At 36.8% G+C, this 16,944-nt stretch overlaps 1 long non-coding RNA gene across 1 annotated transcript in view; it reads left to right on the top strand.

The window, feature by feature from the left end:
* Positions 1-16,944, top strand: part of STXBP5-AS1 (STXBP5 antisense RNA 1) — a 363,227-nt gene that overhangs the window by 200,482 nt on the left and 145,801 nt on the right. Inside the window, exon 6 of the long non-coding RNA NR_034115.1 lies at positions 2,590-2,692. This is a non-coding gene — a long non-coding RNA (STXBP5 antisense RNA 1). The remainder of the gene's footprint in view (positions 1-2,589; positions 2,693-16,944) is intronic.

Here is a 16,944-nt window from a genome sequence, read left to right as displayed (position 1 = left end):
CCATGGGATTACCAAGGAAACAGCAATCCAAAGTCTGAAAAGTCAAGAGAATGAACTACATGGATACATGAGCTTTGACTATCTTCTTTCTTCACTTTAAACCTCTACCCTACAGTAAAGAGGTCTAGGTTACTATTGGTCTTGACTTAAGACAGACCTCCTTCTTCTGGCACAAGAATGAGGCTGTTTGCATAACCCTGAAGGTTGAACTGTGTAGTCAACATAGATTAAGGTCATGTTTGTATACAAGGCACTAAGATAATGTGGAGATGGTGGAGATATGGTAATGATGGAGATGGTGGAACTCCTTGTACTACCCTTCCTTGTTTCCTGCCTTTAGGCTCATTTCTCTTTCTGATCTACCTTTCAGGTACCCCTGTGCTCCCACACATTCTCTTTGTTGTTCTTTGCTTCTATTAGCTTAAGTCAATTATCTTTCACTCTAGGTTTACAAGTGAGTCTCACTATGGTTGTCATACTTAGGGTGCTCATGTTTCAGCAATTCTTTGTAGCACTTTTGAAAAAAGATGAGTGTTTTATAAATCGTTAATAGGTATTCTAAGAGGGGTCTATGGTCAAACATGTTTGGCAAAGCTACATTCTACATCTCTGTATATACATATTTTACTACTAAAAGGACCAAAACATATCTCAAACAAATTTAAGCAATAGCAGAAAGAGTAGTTAGGTAATTTCTTGGCTCAGGCAACTGGGAAATCCAGAGATAGAGCTGTCCTCAGGGACTTTGCCAAGAGCCCAAGGAATGTCATGAGGTCTTCTTTCTGTGTCTTCACTGACATTCCTACTGCAAAATGTTTTAGCTGTGCTTGCATCTGTGAATTTTGTAATTTTCTTGTGTTGATGACTTTATACCATTCAATGGCATGATGGTGGCCATAAGGTAGAGAGAAGAATGTATCACAGAAATATTAAGGCTAACATCATCTTAGTTTAGTGACCTCCTAGATGAAATAGACTTTTCAACCAGAAAAATGCATGCAAAATCTCAGAACAGGCTCTTATTTGCCTAATTTGGATTATAGTCTAAACCTGGTATGTGGTCTCATAGCCAGCATAACTGGGGTATTATGATTTGCCAGGATTTGGTTCCAAGGCTATGTCTTTTGACCAGGGCATCAGCTTATTATGATTGGAAAGTCCACCAAGATTGGGTAGAAAAAGGGGAAATTCATCAGGAGAAAGAGGCTATTCTTGACAGAAGTGGGAGAAGGGATGCTGTGCACATAAAAACAGCAAATATCTCTAAATACTTTTGCATATTGGAATTACCTGGGGAGATTTAAAAAAATACTGATATACAAGTTGACCCCCATTGATTTTGATTTAATTCATCTGGGGTATGGCCTGGGCAATCAAGTCTTTAAAAGTTCCCCAGATGATTCTAATGTGCAGCCATCGCTGAGCGCCCATTGTCTGGTTGCTTTTCAGGTCATTATTTTACACATAACCAAAGATTAATCCTTCTAAATCTCAGTCCTCTGGTCTAAACAAACCTCTGACTTTGAATGAATGCATTCAGGACCACTGAAATTTGATTTCAACTTCCCTTTCCAATCTTATTCCACTACTATTCTATTTATACCTTGTGCTCCAGCAAATGTGGCATGCTTACTGGTGCCCAAGTATCTGTAAAACACCTGTAGTTTCCTATGGATAATTATCACATTTTTTTCAAGTTAGAACAGAGCATACCAACAGATTTTTTTTGCAATGATGGAAATATTCTATACTGTGCAATTTGGTAGCCATTAGCTACATGTGGCTACTGAGCACTTGAAATGTGCTCAATAGTATGACTGAATTTTTACTTTTATTTCAGCTCAAGTTAAATAGTCACATGTGGTTAATGGTTACTTTAACATAACAGGCAGAATGTCTTATTCTGTGCATCTCAATCAACATTCTGTAAACATTTTCAAGGTTCATGGTGTGTAACCCACTGCCCTGAAGATTTCCCGGATGTTTCCGGCTAAAGGACTCCTCTTCTTGTTAATTACTGAGGACTTTAATTGGACCATAGATGTGACACTTACCTATACTGCCCCATATTGCTTTTCCTATTATGGCTCTTGTCTCCAATCTTGCATCCCCAAATATTAGAAATTTCCTGAAACCAGGAACTTATTTGAGGGCTTGTGTTTAATAAAATTTCAATAAGCATTTGTCAAATAAATGCAGGCAAAATTGTCAACAGATGCATACACATAGAGGTTCATATGTTCAAAAGTGTTGCTGGTTAGATGGGACAGAACATGTCGTGGCTGTGTGAGAGAAACTGGGTCAGTAGAATAGACAGGAGAGGATGACTAATCTGTGAAATGACCATAGGGTGCTTGCCTAATTTCTTTGGCTGGGAGGTAAAAATAATTGTGGCAATCAGAAGTACAAATGATTTTTATTAAAGTAAATGAGGAGGTGTGGCCACTCAGAATATACTCTAAATTAACAGTTCAGGAAGAATTCTGGGATCTGTCCTGGTAAAATGGTTATAAATTCATCCTGACTCACACTTTTTTTCCAGAATGAATTTATAAAATGATGAACTCTCACTTCCTAAATTTTCTGCAGATGCCACTGTTGCTGGAGAAATGTCACTGCTAGAGAACAGAAGACTATTATTCCAAAGGGTATTTGAGACTGACTGAATCAGGTCTGGAACATTATTGAAATGGTAAGATAAACTCTAGTACTTTCTGGGAAGAGAAAAATCCTTTTTAGAAAACATGGTCCCTTCTGAATTATGGGCAAATGTCATCGACTCGTTTTCAATGAAACTTTATCTACTAACAGTGAGGAAATGGGACAAAGCTCTGAGCTCCCCCCAGGAGTCCTGCAGCTGAGGTTTCTTTCCCTTGAGATCGTGGGTATTGGAAACAGCTGAAGTTAGAGGTCATTAACATTTTGAGAACACCACAAACTGACAGTGTGTTATGTTATGACATTTCATCCCAAGACATTTAATCTCTTTTAATTAGTGTTTATGTTGGTGATACTTCACAGTTATTTCCTTTCGCATAAAAATGGAACACTTGGGCATGTCATTAACATAAGACTGATTTGCTTATTATCCATAGTAATTGTTTCTAGATCTTTTTCTCCTTTCCTTCCTCCTTTCTGTGTTCTCTTCGTTGATTTTGACCTTTGCTTTCATTCATGCTATTTTTGAAAACATTTCCCATTTTTTCCTTTGCTGATATTCAACCTAGCCAGTTCATTGGTTGGGGTTCTCACACTATATTCTTAGTAAACTTTAAGTGTAGAGTTTGGAAGGGAGCCCATCTCACCTCTCTGAAAATGCTCATGGCCCCCTTGTTGTTGATTAGAAACAGCTTCTCTGAACGATGTTCCACGGATGACTCAGCTGCACAAAACTTCCCTCTCCCCTGCTTTCCTCCTCTCCTCGGCTTAGAATATTGTTGTAAGCTTCTGGCATCTGCCTTCCTGCTTCCATTTCTCTTTCCTCCTCGTGCCAGGTGTAGTACTTTGTCTTCCTTTAAAGTTACTTAAGCTTTTCTTGCCCCAAAAACCTCTTCATTAAATCCAGAAATGATGAGTGTTGATTATTTTATATTAGAGAAATAATAGATTCCTTTGCATAAAAAAGTGGATGCACATTTTATTCCATGAACTAGTGAAAATTCCATGCAATTTTCTTTACTTTTAAATAAATGAACGTAATTTTTATTATAAATCTTTATTTTGCCATAGGATTAAAACCTAATCTCAGTTTAGGCAGAGTTTCTCAGCCTTGACACTATTGAGATTCGGGGCTGGGTAATTATTTGGGAAGCTGTGTATTACAGAATATTTAGGAGCACCCCTGACCCATGTCTGCCAGATACCAGCAGCACCTCCCAGTTCTAACAACCAGACACATCTTCAGACATTGCCAAATATCTGCTGAGAGGCAAAATGATTCCCTGTTGAGAACGGCTAGTCTAGTGGGGTTCCCCTCCCTTTCTCTGGGTTTGTCCATAATTGAAGGCAAGGACTTAGGGAAAGAGGGAGGCTGGTCCTTGAAATCATTCTGCATCCACACAGACGCATCTACAGCATCCCATTCCCACTGTGACCGTGAGGCCCTGGTGCCTTTACCTTGATCCGACTAAGGGCTCTCGGAGCAGCTGTCTCTGCTCTGCTCTCAGGCATAAGGGAACCTCCCATTCCTTGTAGGGCTACAAGGTGCACTGGGAGGTAGACTTAGGCCTGTCTGTAGTGCTGTTCTAGGGAGCCAGGCTGAGGAACAGGAACACTGGGATCTTGCTGGCTCCAGATTGTCCCCTGGGGATAGGGGCCCAGTTTGGTCTGGTCTTGAATTCCTAATTCTCTGTGGGACTTTCCGACAGAACACCCAGCTCTGGAGCCTGACATCACATAAGCTCTGTTTCTGCCATGACTTTCCTTGTTCCTTGCATGCCTGCCATCTTTGTATAGTTTGAGGACAAGGGAGCCTGGAGTTTCATCTGGTTTTCCAAATATAATGTTTTATGCCCTAAAAGTTATGTATTTCATAGTTGTGCTTTTGACACCAACCTAGTATTTTTCTCTGCTTTTCTGCTGTGTTCTTCCTTCCCTGAGGCAATGAATTCTGCCGAGCAGTGGGTGGAGAAAAGGATACAAGAAAATAAGAGAAAAAAGTTTTGATTGAAATCAACTTTATAACATCCTTACCCTATTTTTAAAATTTGAGATTCCTATGCTTTTTTAAAAAAATGAGTTTCCTCTCATATGTATATTCTGCATAATATTTTTCTTGTGGTGTTAGATACAGAAAATCTCTGTGAAATCATTCTCTTAACTTTATTCACTTAAATTCTTTATTTCGATGTGATTAAATCAATTAATTGATGTCTTTGGAGTTTTAAGAAGTTCTTCCCTTACCCTAGGGCACATTACCTTCTATTTTTATAGTTTTCCTTGATTTATTTCTTTAATATATCTGAATTCCATCCTTTTATGTGGTAATAGGTGTGAATTTTTCTCCATAATGAGCAATTTTCCTATCATAATTTATGGAACCATCTGATTTGCATGCCATCTTTATTATGTATTAAATTCTGAGATATAAATGTATCTCACAGAAATCCTGGTCTGTAGGTCAGCTTTGTTGCTTTTTGCATCAATATCATACCATTTTTTAGCATAATAAACTCGTAGTTATTCTTAGTAGCCGTTAGGCCAAGTTTTTATCTCCTTTGCTTATGTTAATATTATCTAGAATTATAATTCAGGGTTGCTTTTAAACAAATAAATACAGACTATCTGTTAGACTACACACCAGTATTTTGGCGGGGTAAATAAATGGAAATGAAAGCAGTAGAAAGTGTTGAGCCTATTGCATTCTGGGCCACAGCATAAACATTGAGTAGAAATCACTATTAGACTGGGAGAAGAAACTCCAGTTTTGGGGCTACAAGGGTTAAGCTGCATGATTAAGAAAGCATTCACCTCTAGAAATTTTAAAATTGAAAACCATAACGAATGTAAAACTTAAGTGTTGCATAGTGTAATAGAAGCATCTAAATGGAGAATTCATGAATTGTAATATAGATCTGGAAAATTTATTTATTTATTTATTTATTTTTGAGACGGAGTCTCGCTCTGTCGCCCAGGCCGGACTGCGGACTGCAGTGGCGCAATCTCGGCTCACTGCAAGCTCCGCTTCCGGGTTCACGCCATTCTCCTGCCTCAGCCTCCCCAGTAGCTGGGACTACAGGCGCCCGCCACCGCGCCCGGCTAATTTTTTGTATTTTTAGTAGAGACGGGGTTTCACCTTGTTAGCCAGGATGGTCTCGATCTCCTGACCTCATGATCCACCCGCCTCGGCCTCCCAAAGTGCTGGGATCTGGAAAATTTTTATGGAATGCAGAAGGCAGAGGCCAATAGTTGGAAAATAAGAGGGGTTGATAAACATAGAAATTGAAATAATGGCAAATAGGTATCTAATCAGTATTCTAGAAGGAGAAATTTATAAAGTAATCATGAATCAATAATAATAATAATGCCCAACTTGTAGAGTAGACACAACACAACAAAGAGCTAAATGTTTGGGAAACAACAGCAGCAAACAGTGAGGGAATGATTGGGATTACCTTAGAAGGTTCTTTTGTTCTTGGGCTGAAGGTAAGTATACTGATCACAGTTAGACTTTGCTAAGTATGCATATTAAAATTTCAAGGGTAATCACTAAGAAAGAAAAACTGAATGTTTATATACCAAAATTAGAAAAAAAAGAAAACCGGGGAAAAAACCCCAATCAATCTAGAACACGGCAATTGTAGAAAAATTCTTTTTTTTTTTTTTTTTTTTTTTTTTTTGAGATGGAGTCTCGCTCTGTTGCCAGGCTGGAGTGCAGTGGTGCGATCTCAGCTCACTGCACCCTCTGCCTCCCGGGTTCAAGCGATTCTACTGCCTCCGCCTCCTGAGTAGCTAGGATTACAGGAACACGCCGCCATACCCAGCTAATTTTTATATTTTTAGTAGAGATCAGGTTTCATCATGTTGGCCAGGTTGGTCTTGATCTCCTGACATTGTGATCCACCCACCTTGGCTTTCCAAAGTGCTGGGATTACAAGCGTGAGCCACCGTGCCCGGCCAAAACAATTGTAACTGGAGGGTCAGTAAACTGATACAGCCTCAGCATTTTAGATTTTTACATAAGCAAACCAATGCACAATATAAGCAGTACAACCAAACTAGAGACTTTACCAGTCAGAAGCCACCAACTAACCTCTTCCTAGGGATTTTCCACTCTAAGCCATCAAATAGATTTTCTTTGCCTTCCTTCCATGTCAGCCTGTCAAAGCCTTCTGCCCATGCTACTGCAGCTGAGCTCTCTGAACCCCTTCTGGTTCTGAGTGCTGCGTCATGCATGAATCATCTTCTACTCAAACTGTGTTAAATGTATTTTCTCTAAAGTTTTTTTTTTTAATTTAACAAGAAAAAAATCACAAAAATTGAGACAAAGAGAAAATACAAAATAAAGCAATAAGAAATCCAAATACATCAGGAAACACTATGAACTGGCATAGGTTGTTGTATGGATGCTTTTAAAAGATCAAGCTACATGCTGTTTATTAGAGACATACCTAATACGAAAGCACACAGAGAAAAAAGAGAAAACTGACAAGGCTATTGGATTGAACTCTATAAATTTGCCACTTATTAACCTAAAAAAACAATTTCATATTGTTCTAATGTAATAGTATAAGAACATAGACCTTAAGACCTTAAGACAGAAACATTTGAGATCAAGAGTATCATTATATATTAATGCAAGTTTGAATCCACTAGGAGAATATAATACTTCTTAAGAATATAATAGCAGAGATTCCTGGCTAACACAGTGAAACCCCGTCTCTACTAAAAATACAAAAAATTAGCCGGGCGTGGCGGCAGGCGCCTATAGTCCCAGCTACTCGGGAGGCTGAGGCAGGAGAATGGCGTGAACCTGGAAGGCGGAGCTTGCGATGAGCCGAGATCGCGCCACTGCACTCCAGCCTGGGCGACAGAGCCAGACTCCGTCTCAACAACAACAACAACAACAACAACAACAAAGAATATAATAGCAGAGATTAAAAGCATATGAAGCAAAAAATTGACAAAATTACAGGGAAAAATAGAAATATCCAGGATCATAGTGGGACATTTTACCACCACTCCCTGTCATTGATAATTGAACAATGCAAGTATATGAAAGATTTGAATAATACAATAAAGAAGCATAATCTAGCAGACATGCGAAATATTTTTCTATTGGAAAATAGACATGTTTTTCAAGACCACGAAGAACATTTTTGGAAATAAATCATATTTAAAACCATAAATCAAGCATCAGTAAATATCAGGGGACCGGTATGATAGAGTTTTTTCACCATAGAGCAAGTAAGTCTCAACAAATTTTAATAAATCAGAATTATACAAACTATATTTTTGACCACAATACAGTTAATCAAGAAATCAATATTTACAGAATAATTTTCAAAAATCCCACACTGTTAGAAATTAAAAACAATCTTTGAATAATCCATGTTAAATGTTTGAAAGAGAACAATTGAACAAATTCACAATAGAGGATAGCATATAATATATACAGAAGTATAAGTCAATGAAAAAGGAAACATCTCTTAGAATTAATAAAAGCAAAAACTGCTTCTTTGGAAAGAAAAAAAATGAAATTATCCAAATGTTGACATAATTGATGTGCAAAAAGAAAAAAAAGAGTTAGATAAACAATATGAACTATAAAAAAAGGTATCTCATTAGAGACAAAACAGAGTTAAAAGATAAGTGAAAATGCTGAAAAACTTTAAACTCAAAATTAAAACTGTAGGTGGAGTAGACAAATCCAGGAGGAAAATGTAAAACTGATTCAAGAAGAAATAGAAATCTTGAATAGATTTATAACCATAAAAGAAATTGAATTAATAATTAAAAATCTTTCCAAAAAGAAAATACAAGGCCAAGATGATTTCTGAGTGACATCTGCAAAACAAATAAGAAAGCATACCAGCAATAATATATGTTATTCCAGAGCCTAGCAAAAAGAAAGGCACACTTTCACCACATTTTCTAAAGCTAGACAAATGGTAACAACAAGTCCAAATAAAGACAACGCAAGAAGAATGATTATAGGCAAGCTCCATAACATGCACAGAATCATAAATGCAGCATTACCACATAAAATCCAACAGTGCGTTTAGAAAGATATCACTTTTAATTTGTATATGCATCCCAGTCATGCAAATGTACTTTAACATTAGGTAATATAAGTACTACATTAACAGATTAAGGGGAAAATGATTAATATGTACAGCAAAACATTTTACAAAATTCATTCATAATAAAAAATCCTGAGGTTTTGAAATAGAAGGCATCCTTTCTAACCTGACAAACGGATCTATCAAAAATCTACAGTGAGCATTTATATTCAATAATGAAATACTAAAATGAGGAATGAGGCAATTAAGCACCATCACTGCTTCTATCTATTATTGTCTGTAACACTGTAAGTTGTGCATTTGAGAAGGAAATCTAATCTAAAATTATTGAAAAGGAAAAAGCAAAACTATCATTACTTTTGTACACAGTAAAGCCAAAAGGATATACAGGCAAATTATTAGAAATAGTGCAAGTTTAATAAGGTTCTTGGATGTAAGATGAATAACTAAAAGTAGCAATGGTGTTTAAAAGTCAATTAAAGAGATAACATTCAGCATTACACAATTAACATATATACGAATAAATCAAAGATGTGCAAACCCTACTGAAAAATTTAAACCTTATTAAAAGACATTAAACCGTGTATGTGTGTGCATGTGCGTGTGTGTGTAAAAATGAACACATAAACATATAGCATTTTCATGGTTAGTAATCAAAGTAGTAAAAATGACAACACTGATCTGCAGATTAACCTAATCTATATATTAATCAAAACAACTTGTTGTATTTCCCATGAAACTGTCTGAACTAAAGCTAAACTTTTATAAAAGAGTGAATATCCAAGTAAAGGGAAAATACTCTTGAAGAAGATTACAGTGTGAGAATTTGGTTTACCTGATGCCAAGATTTCCTATAAAGCTGTGTTAACTCAGTGTTGAAATGACACAGAGATGGACACACAGACCAATAGAAGAGAAGAGAGCCCATAGAGAGACCTACACATGTATGAAAACTTGATACATAACAATTGCCACACTAGATCTCGGAGAAAAAGATCGACTATCTAATAATCTTTTAGAACCAGATCAGCACACTTATTCCTAACTGATCAGATGTAAAAGTTTTTGGCTTTGTGGACCATATGGTCACAGCTATCAACTCTGTTCTTCCAGTGCAAGGTGGCATAGATATTATACAAAAGAATGGACGTGGATGTGTTTCCATACGCTGTATTTACAAATGTGAGCTGCAGTTTGCTTATTGCTGTTTTAGAGGGCAATACAAGAGAATGTCTGTAATCTCAGCATAGCGAAAGCAAGAAAACAGCTCACAGCTGAAAAATAAAACATTGATAAATTCAACATTAAAAAGAAGAATCTCTATTTATCAAAAGATTTCATCAAGAAAACTACAAAGCCCCAATCTAAGATATTTGCAACACAGAAATAAATTAAGAATTAGTATTTATAATATATAAAGAAGTCCTATGAAGTAAAAAGAAAATTCAAATAACAATCCAATAGAAAATTGAGCTAAGTATATGAACAGGTATTTCACAGAAGGGGACGCACAGTGGTCATTAATTACATAAAACAACAATAAACCTCATTATGGTAGTGCAATTTAAAAGTGCAATTAGTTATTATTACACATTTGCTCTACTCATATACAAAATCTTACCATATGTAGTGATGGCAAGTATGGGAATCAAGGGAACTCTTAAATGTTGCCAGAGAGAGTCTACACAAGGTATAATCATACTTTTAAAAACAAGTTGGCACTATTTTGTAAGGTTGAAAATGCATGGCCAGGCATGGTGGCTCATGCCTGTAATCCTAGCACTTTGGGAGGCTGAGGTGGGCGGATCATCTGAGGTCAGGAGTTCAAGACCAGCCTGACCAACATGGAGAAACCCCGTCTCTACTAAAAATACAAAATTAGCCAGGTGTGGTGGTGCATGCCTGTAATCCCAGCTATTCGGGAGGCTGAGGCAGGAGAATCGCTTGGGAACCCGGGAGGCAGAGGTTGTGGTGAGCTGAGATCGTGCCATTGCACTCCAGCCTGGGCAACAAGAGCAAAACTCTGGCTCAAAAAAAAAAAAAATTCATGAACCCCATAACTGAGCAATTCTATTCCTGCATGTGCTATATATTATAAAGAAATACTTGCTCTTGTATCTAAAGATAGGTACAGGAATATTTGTATCAGCATCATATTAGCAACAAACTGGTAATAACACAATGTTCTTAGAAAAATTAATGAATATATTATAGAATATTCATATGATGGAACATCTATTCAGCAGTGAAGATGAACTACAGCAATGTGAATCAACATGGGTGAATATTAAAAAGTATATTGAGTGAAAACAAAACACAATAATATAAGATATACATTTTATAAATTTCAAAAATAAGCAAAACTGAAAATATATTTAAAAGAAACGTAAAGATGTGATTAAAAATGAAAACTCGGGCTGGTAGGTCCTGCTGATGAAGAGTGAGGAAGGAGGAAAGGATGATGAATAGCATTGATATTTAGTTTTTTGCTTTATTTTTATGTTCATCACTTGCACATATTTTATACATTCTTTTTGCATATCAACTACTCCAAATGTAAAATTCTGAAACACGAATCTTTTATCTCCATTAAATTGACAAAAATTTGTCCACATGTGCTATTTTTTCCTTTATTTCTGTTTTTAAAGATAGAGTCTCTTGCTGTCACGTAGGCTGGAGTACAGTGGCATGGTCATAGCTCACTGCAGCCTTGACCTCCCAGGCTCGAGTGATCCTCCCATTTCAGCCTCCTGAGTAGCTAGGAATACAGGCACATGCCATCACATCCAGGTGACTAAAAAACTTTTTTTCGTAGAGACAAGGTTTGTCTATGTTGCCCAGGCTGGTCTTGAACTCCTGGGTTCAAGCAATCCTCTCACCTCAGCCTCCCAAAATGTTGTGATTACAGGCATAAGCCACAAGCCACTGTGCCTGGTGTTTTTCCAATATTCTAAGATAATTTTTCTTGAAAATCACTTTCTATCCCCTTTCCCCCACCTTTTTCATTATTGTGCTTATATTCATCCAAATTGTATTGTTTGATATTGTTACTTCAGTTTAATTGTTTTTAACTGTTTACTCCACTTGATGGTAAGGTCCCTGTGAAATGATTTCTCAGTTAATGCCATCCTATCCATTTTCTGCACTTCTTAGCTCTGCAGTATATGCTCAGAGGCCAGAGGCTATATCACCTTGGTCTCCTTGCTCTCATATTTCTCTCTGGGTTGGCCAATGGAAAGGTCTGGTTGGAGAATGGAATGAGAGAGGAGAGAGATATTGGGATGTATCTTCCCTCAGTGTTCTTGTCTTTGAACAGTATCTCTATTCCTCGTGACTTCCAGGCAGCTCTCACTCCACGTCTGAAAATCTCATTGGGTTCTGTACCATGTACCGCTTGCCACTTCAACAATGGGTGTGGTAGTAGCTTCTCACTGTTGCTGGTCTTGGGGTCTCTCAATTTCCCCTGTTTATTTCCTAAACATTTTCCACCATATATAAGTAGCTCTTTCATCGAAACCATTTAATTTATAGCATCTGGGGTAAATTTTTATTCCTGCCAGAATCTTGTTATCTTCTTTTTTCTGTTTTATTCACTGCTGTTTCCTCAACGTCTAGAATAATACCCGACAGAGTAGGAACTTAAAAAAAAGGGACGAATCAATGAACTCATGGTCACTAGCAATTACCACATGATTTTGCCCCAGCAGCAGCAGCTGATTAGGTCAAATTAAGGTTGGGAAATTGATGATGCTCTACCTCCCGGCTAGCAGGAGCCCAAGATGGTTTGGCATAAGAGCTTGGCCAAAGCTAAATGATAGTGACTAACACATCAAATTCTCTTCCTTGGAGAATTTCAATGCAAAATACATATATATATAAAATTGTTCCAGTTAATAGTGAAGGGTGAAGGCTGATGTTGAAACCGACGCAGAAGACAGATATCAAAGACTTTAAGATGACATTCGTCATGAAAGGCTATAAATATGTAGAGGCTGTCAGTACATTCAAGTTCAAAGTACAGACGTCACGACTAAGCAGAAACTAAACAATATCCAGCAGTAGAGACTCAGAGAGGAACTGAGTCATCATATTGGCAAGAGACTGTCTAACTAGAGAGTGACAAGTTAATGTTGTTAGTAAAATGACCTTGGACCCTAAATCATCTTTCCTCTCCTTTGACATCCAGACTATACCTGTTACAAGATTAGCAAAGATTCTCTTTGTTTTTTTTCCTTGTATGTATTTTGTAACAAACCCCTCATTATTTCATGTTCCAGCAAATATAAAAAGCTACTGGAAAACCAAAGCTTCTGTCTTCCTGTTTGGTGTTTCTTTTCTATCATATCACTGATACTGAGCTATCAATCAAATTGTAATCTTTTTTTTTTTTTTTTTTTTTTTGCTGCAAATTTATTGCGAAGAGTGAAAGAACAAAGCTTCCACAGTGTGGAAGGGGACCCGAGTGGGTTGCCCCAAATTGTAATCTTATTTATGATTTTTTCTTATTCTAGTTTAGTTTAGAGGAAGTTATAAAACCCATTATTTCATGGCTGGACCATACAATGATTGCTACCCAATTTTGTTCTTTTCTTTCACATTATGTGTGAGTTTTGGAAAACACTGACAGCAACCAGAAGGTAATCCACACGGTAAGCTCAAAATTTGCCAAAACTCCATTGTATGTATGTTTACAAGTGATCTAAATTGTAAGTGGGAAAATAGAAACATACAAATATCTGGGGATAACAGTAAGGAGGATGACAAAAAAGATTAGTAATTTCATTCTTCTTGATATCCCAAATTTTGAGCAGAATTGCTCTGAGAACAGAATCTCAGAAGGAATGTCAGTTTGGCAGGAGAACAAGACAGAATAAAATGATAACTCACGAAGCAGGGACAGAAAGGATAGCAGCAGCTTCAGGGCTGTGCTAAGGGTAGCTTGGCACAGGAATGCGTTCTTTGAGACAGATTCACAAATGGTTGATTAGTATGAGAGGAATGCAGGGGTATCATTTATCTGGATTGTCCCAAGGCCCTTGACAGAATGTTTTCCTGAAGACTCTTATACAAAAAGTGAATTCAAATTGCTTTGAAAATTGGCTGATGAGTCCAAAACAAAGAAAAAAAAAGATAAATTGCAAATGTAGCCAGCTCTAGCAAAGTGCCTGAAAATGACAAAGGAATTAATGTCGATTTTAAGTCTTTATCTTACATTTTCAAAAGTTACCTGAAAGTAGTTTATTAAAAAAAATGCAGTGACTCAGACTTACTGTATATTCAATACTGAGTTAGGTACCCTGAGTGCAGTGGCCATATATGCTGAGCCAAAACGAAGAATAATTTTATGTCGCTTCTGGATGCAAGAGGTAGGAACAAGCGTGAGTGACTCTTAGTAAGCATATAACTCATTGGTAGAAACAGAATGTCAACATCCCAGAATATTAGCTGTGAGCTTTCATCCTTTAACAGATAGCTATAGGCAAGAGGAGTCTGTTTACTAGAGGTCAGTTGGGAGAACTTCTACTGTTTTGTAATTATAATTACCTTATTAACAAATAATATAAAAATAATGTGGTCTGAAAGAGTAAATACAACATATTCTGAAAAGCCTCCAATATTTAGGCTACAGAGGACTTGACACTGTGGATCACATACTGATCTTAACTTTAGGGTATGACTATGACTTTCAGATGAAGAACAGCAGCCGTTATGTTTGTGAATCAAGATCCTTTGTATAGTACTCATTTAAGACTAGGTTGACTTTTTAAAATGGTGAACTGAAGATGGTTTCTGGTGCAAATGGAATAAGTGTAAAATTCAAATAGACTTGTGAAATTCACAATAATTTACACTTTGATGCTAATGGTGTTAATGAAAATAACTTTTGCATTATAGCACATTTAAAAGGTTTTCAGGAACATTATGTCATTTGAGCCTTGCACCCCTATGACCTCAGTACTGTACATACAGTCATTACCCTAGTTTCAAAGATGAGGAAAGTGAGGCCCCAAGAGATTAAGAGATTTTTCTAAGGCTTTACAATATTAATAGATAACTGTAACTCAAATCACATTATTTTACATTTTGTATTTCCCTATCGTAGCTTGTCATACAATAAAGTATCTTGAGGAGGAAAGCTCAGTAGGGAGCCAAGCAATTAGTTATTATTAGTTTTTTCCCTTTACCTCCATCACTGCATGTTTACTACACTAAAAATGCATTTATGTCTGTACAGGTTTGTCTTTTCTACTAGACTGAGCTGCAGGAAAACAAGAGATCAGCTCCTTTTTGAATGCCAGCCCTCCTTATCTAGTGTGGGTCTGCTGACATATTAATTTGGCTGAGCTGAATTCTAAGACATGAAGCTTTATCCATTTTAAGATAAGAATATATTCTAGAAGCATGCTATATTATTTCTAAACAAAATCTGTTATTTTATGATAATGGAAGGAAGAAGAGAACTTGGAGATTGAAAAGGGAGAATACATCTTTATAACAGAATGATTTATATTCATTTGGGTATATACCTAGTAATGGGATTGCTGGGTTGAATGATATTTCTGCCTCTAGGTCTTTGAGAAATTGCCACTGGCTTCCACAATGGTTGAACTAATTTACATTCCCACCAATAGTGTAAAAGTGTTCCTTTTTCCCCACAACCTCACCAGCCTCTGTAGTTTTTTGACTCAAAAAAATTTTTTTTTATTAGTTTATTAGTGTTTGGTTTTCTGTCCTTGTGATAGTTTGCTCAGAATGATGGTTTCCAGCTTCATCCATGTCCCTGCAAAGGACATGAACTCATCCTTTTTTACGGCTGCACAGTATTCCATGGTGTATATGTGCCACATTTTCTTAATCCAGTCTATCATTGATGGACATTTGGGTTGGTTCCAAGTCTTTGCTGTTGTGAATAGTGCTGCAGTAAACATATGTGTGCAAGTGTCTTTATAGTAGCATGATTTATAATCCTTTGGGTATATACCCAGTAATAGGATCGCTGGGTCAAATGGTATTTCTAGTTCTAGATCCTTGAGGAATCACCACACTGCGTTCCACAATGGTTGAACTAGTTTACACTCCCACCAACAGTGTAAAAGTGTTCTGATTTGTCCACATCCTCTCCAGCATCTGTTGTTTCCTGACTTTTTAATGATCACCATTCTAACTGGATGAGATGGTATCTCATTGTGGTTTTGATTTGCATTTCTCTGATGGCCAGTGATGATGAGCATTTTTTCATGTGTCTGTTGGCTGCATAAATGTCTTCCGAGAAGTGTCTGTTCATATCTTTTGCCCACTTTTTGATGGGGTTGTTTGTTTTTTTCTTGTAAATTTGTCTAAGTTCTTTGTAGATTCTGGATATAAGCCCTTTGTCAGATGAGTAGATTGCAAAAATTTTCTCCCATTCTGTAGGTTGCCTGTTCACTTGATGGTAGTTTCTTTTGCTGTGCAGAAGCTCTTTAGTTTAATTAGATCCCATTTGTCTATTTTGGCTTTTGTTGCCTTTTTAATAGCCATTCAGACTGGTGTGAGATGGTATCTCACTGTGATATTGATTTGCATTTCTCTAATGATCAGTGATGTTGAGCTTTTTTCCATATGATTTTTGGCCACATGTGTGTCTTCTTTTGAGAAGTGACTGTTCATGTCCTTTGCCTACTTTTTAATGTTTTTTTTTCTTGTAAATTTGTTTAAGTTCCTTATGGATACTGGATATTAGACCTTTGTCAGGTGGATAGATTGCAAAAATTTTCTCCCATTCTGTAGGTTGTCTATTTACTCTATTGTTTCTTTTGCTGCACAGAAGCTCTTTAGTTTAATTAGATCCCATTTGTCAATTTTTGCTTTTGTTCCAATTGCTTTTGACATCTTTGTCGTGAAATATTTGCCTGTGCCTATGTCCTAAATGGTATTGCCTAGGTTTTCTTCTAGGATTTTTCTAGTTTTGGGTTTTACATTTAAGTTTTTAACCCATCTGGAGTTTAGTTTTGTATATGGTGTAAGTAAGAGGTCCAGTTTCAATTTTCTGCATATGACTAGCCAGTTCTCCCAGCATCATTTATTAAATAGGGAATCATTTCCCTATTGCTTGTTTTTGTCAGGTTTGTTGAAGATCAGATGGTTGCAGGTGTGTCATCTTATTTCTGGGTTTTCTATTTTGCTCCATTAGTCTATATGTCTGTTCTTCTACCAGTACCATGCT

The sequence above is a fragment of the Homo sapiens genome, chromosome 6 (assembly GCF_000001405.40).
Source record: "Homo sapiens chromosome 6, GRCh38.p14 Primary Assembly".
NCBI classification, from domain to species: Eukaryota; Metazoa; Chordata; class Mammalia; order Primates; family Hominidae; genus Homo; species Homo sapiens.
Note: the sequence above shows the minus strand (reverse complement) of the source record. Positions and strands in the feature narration are given on the sequence as shown.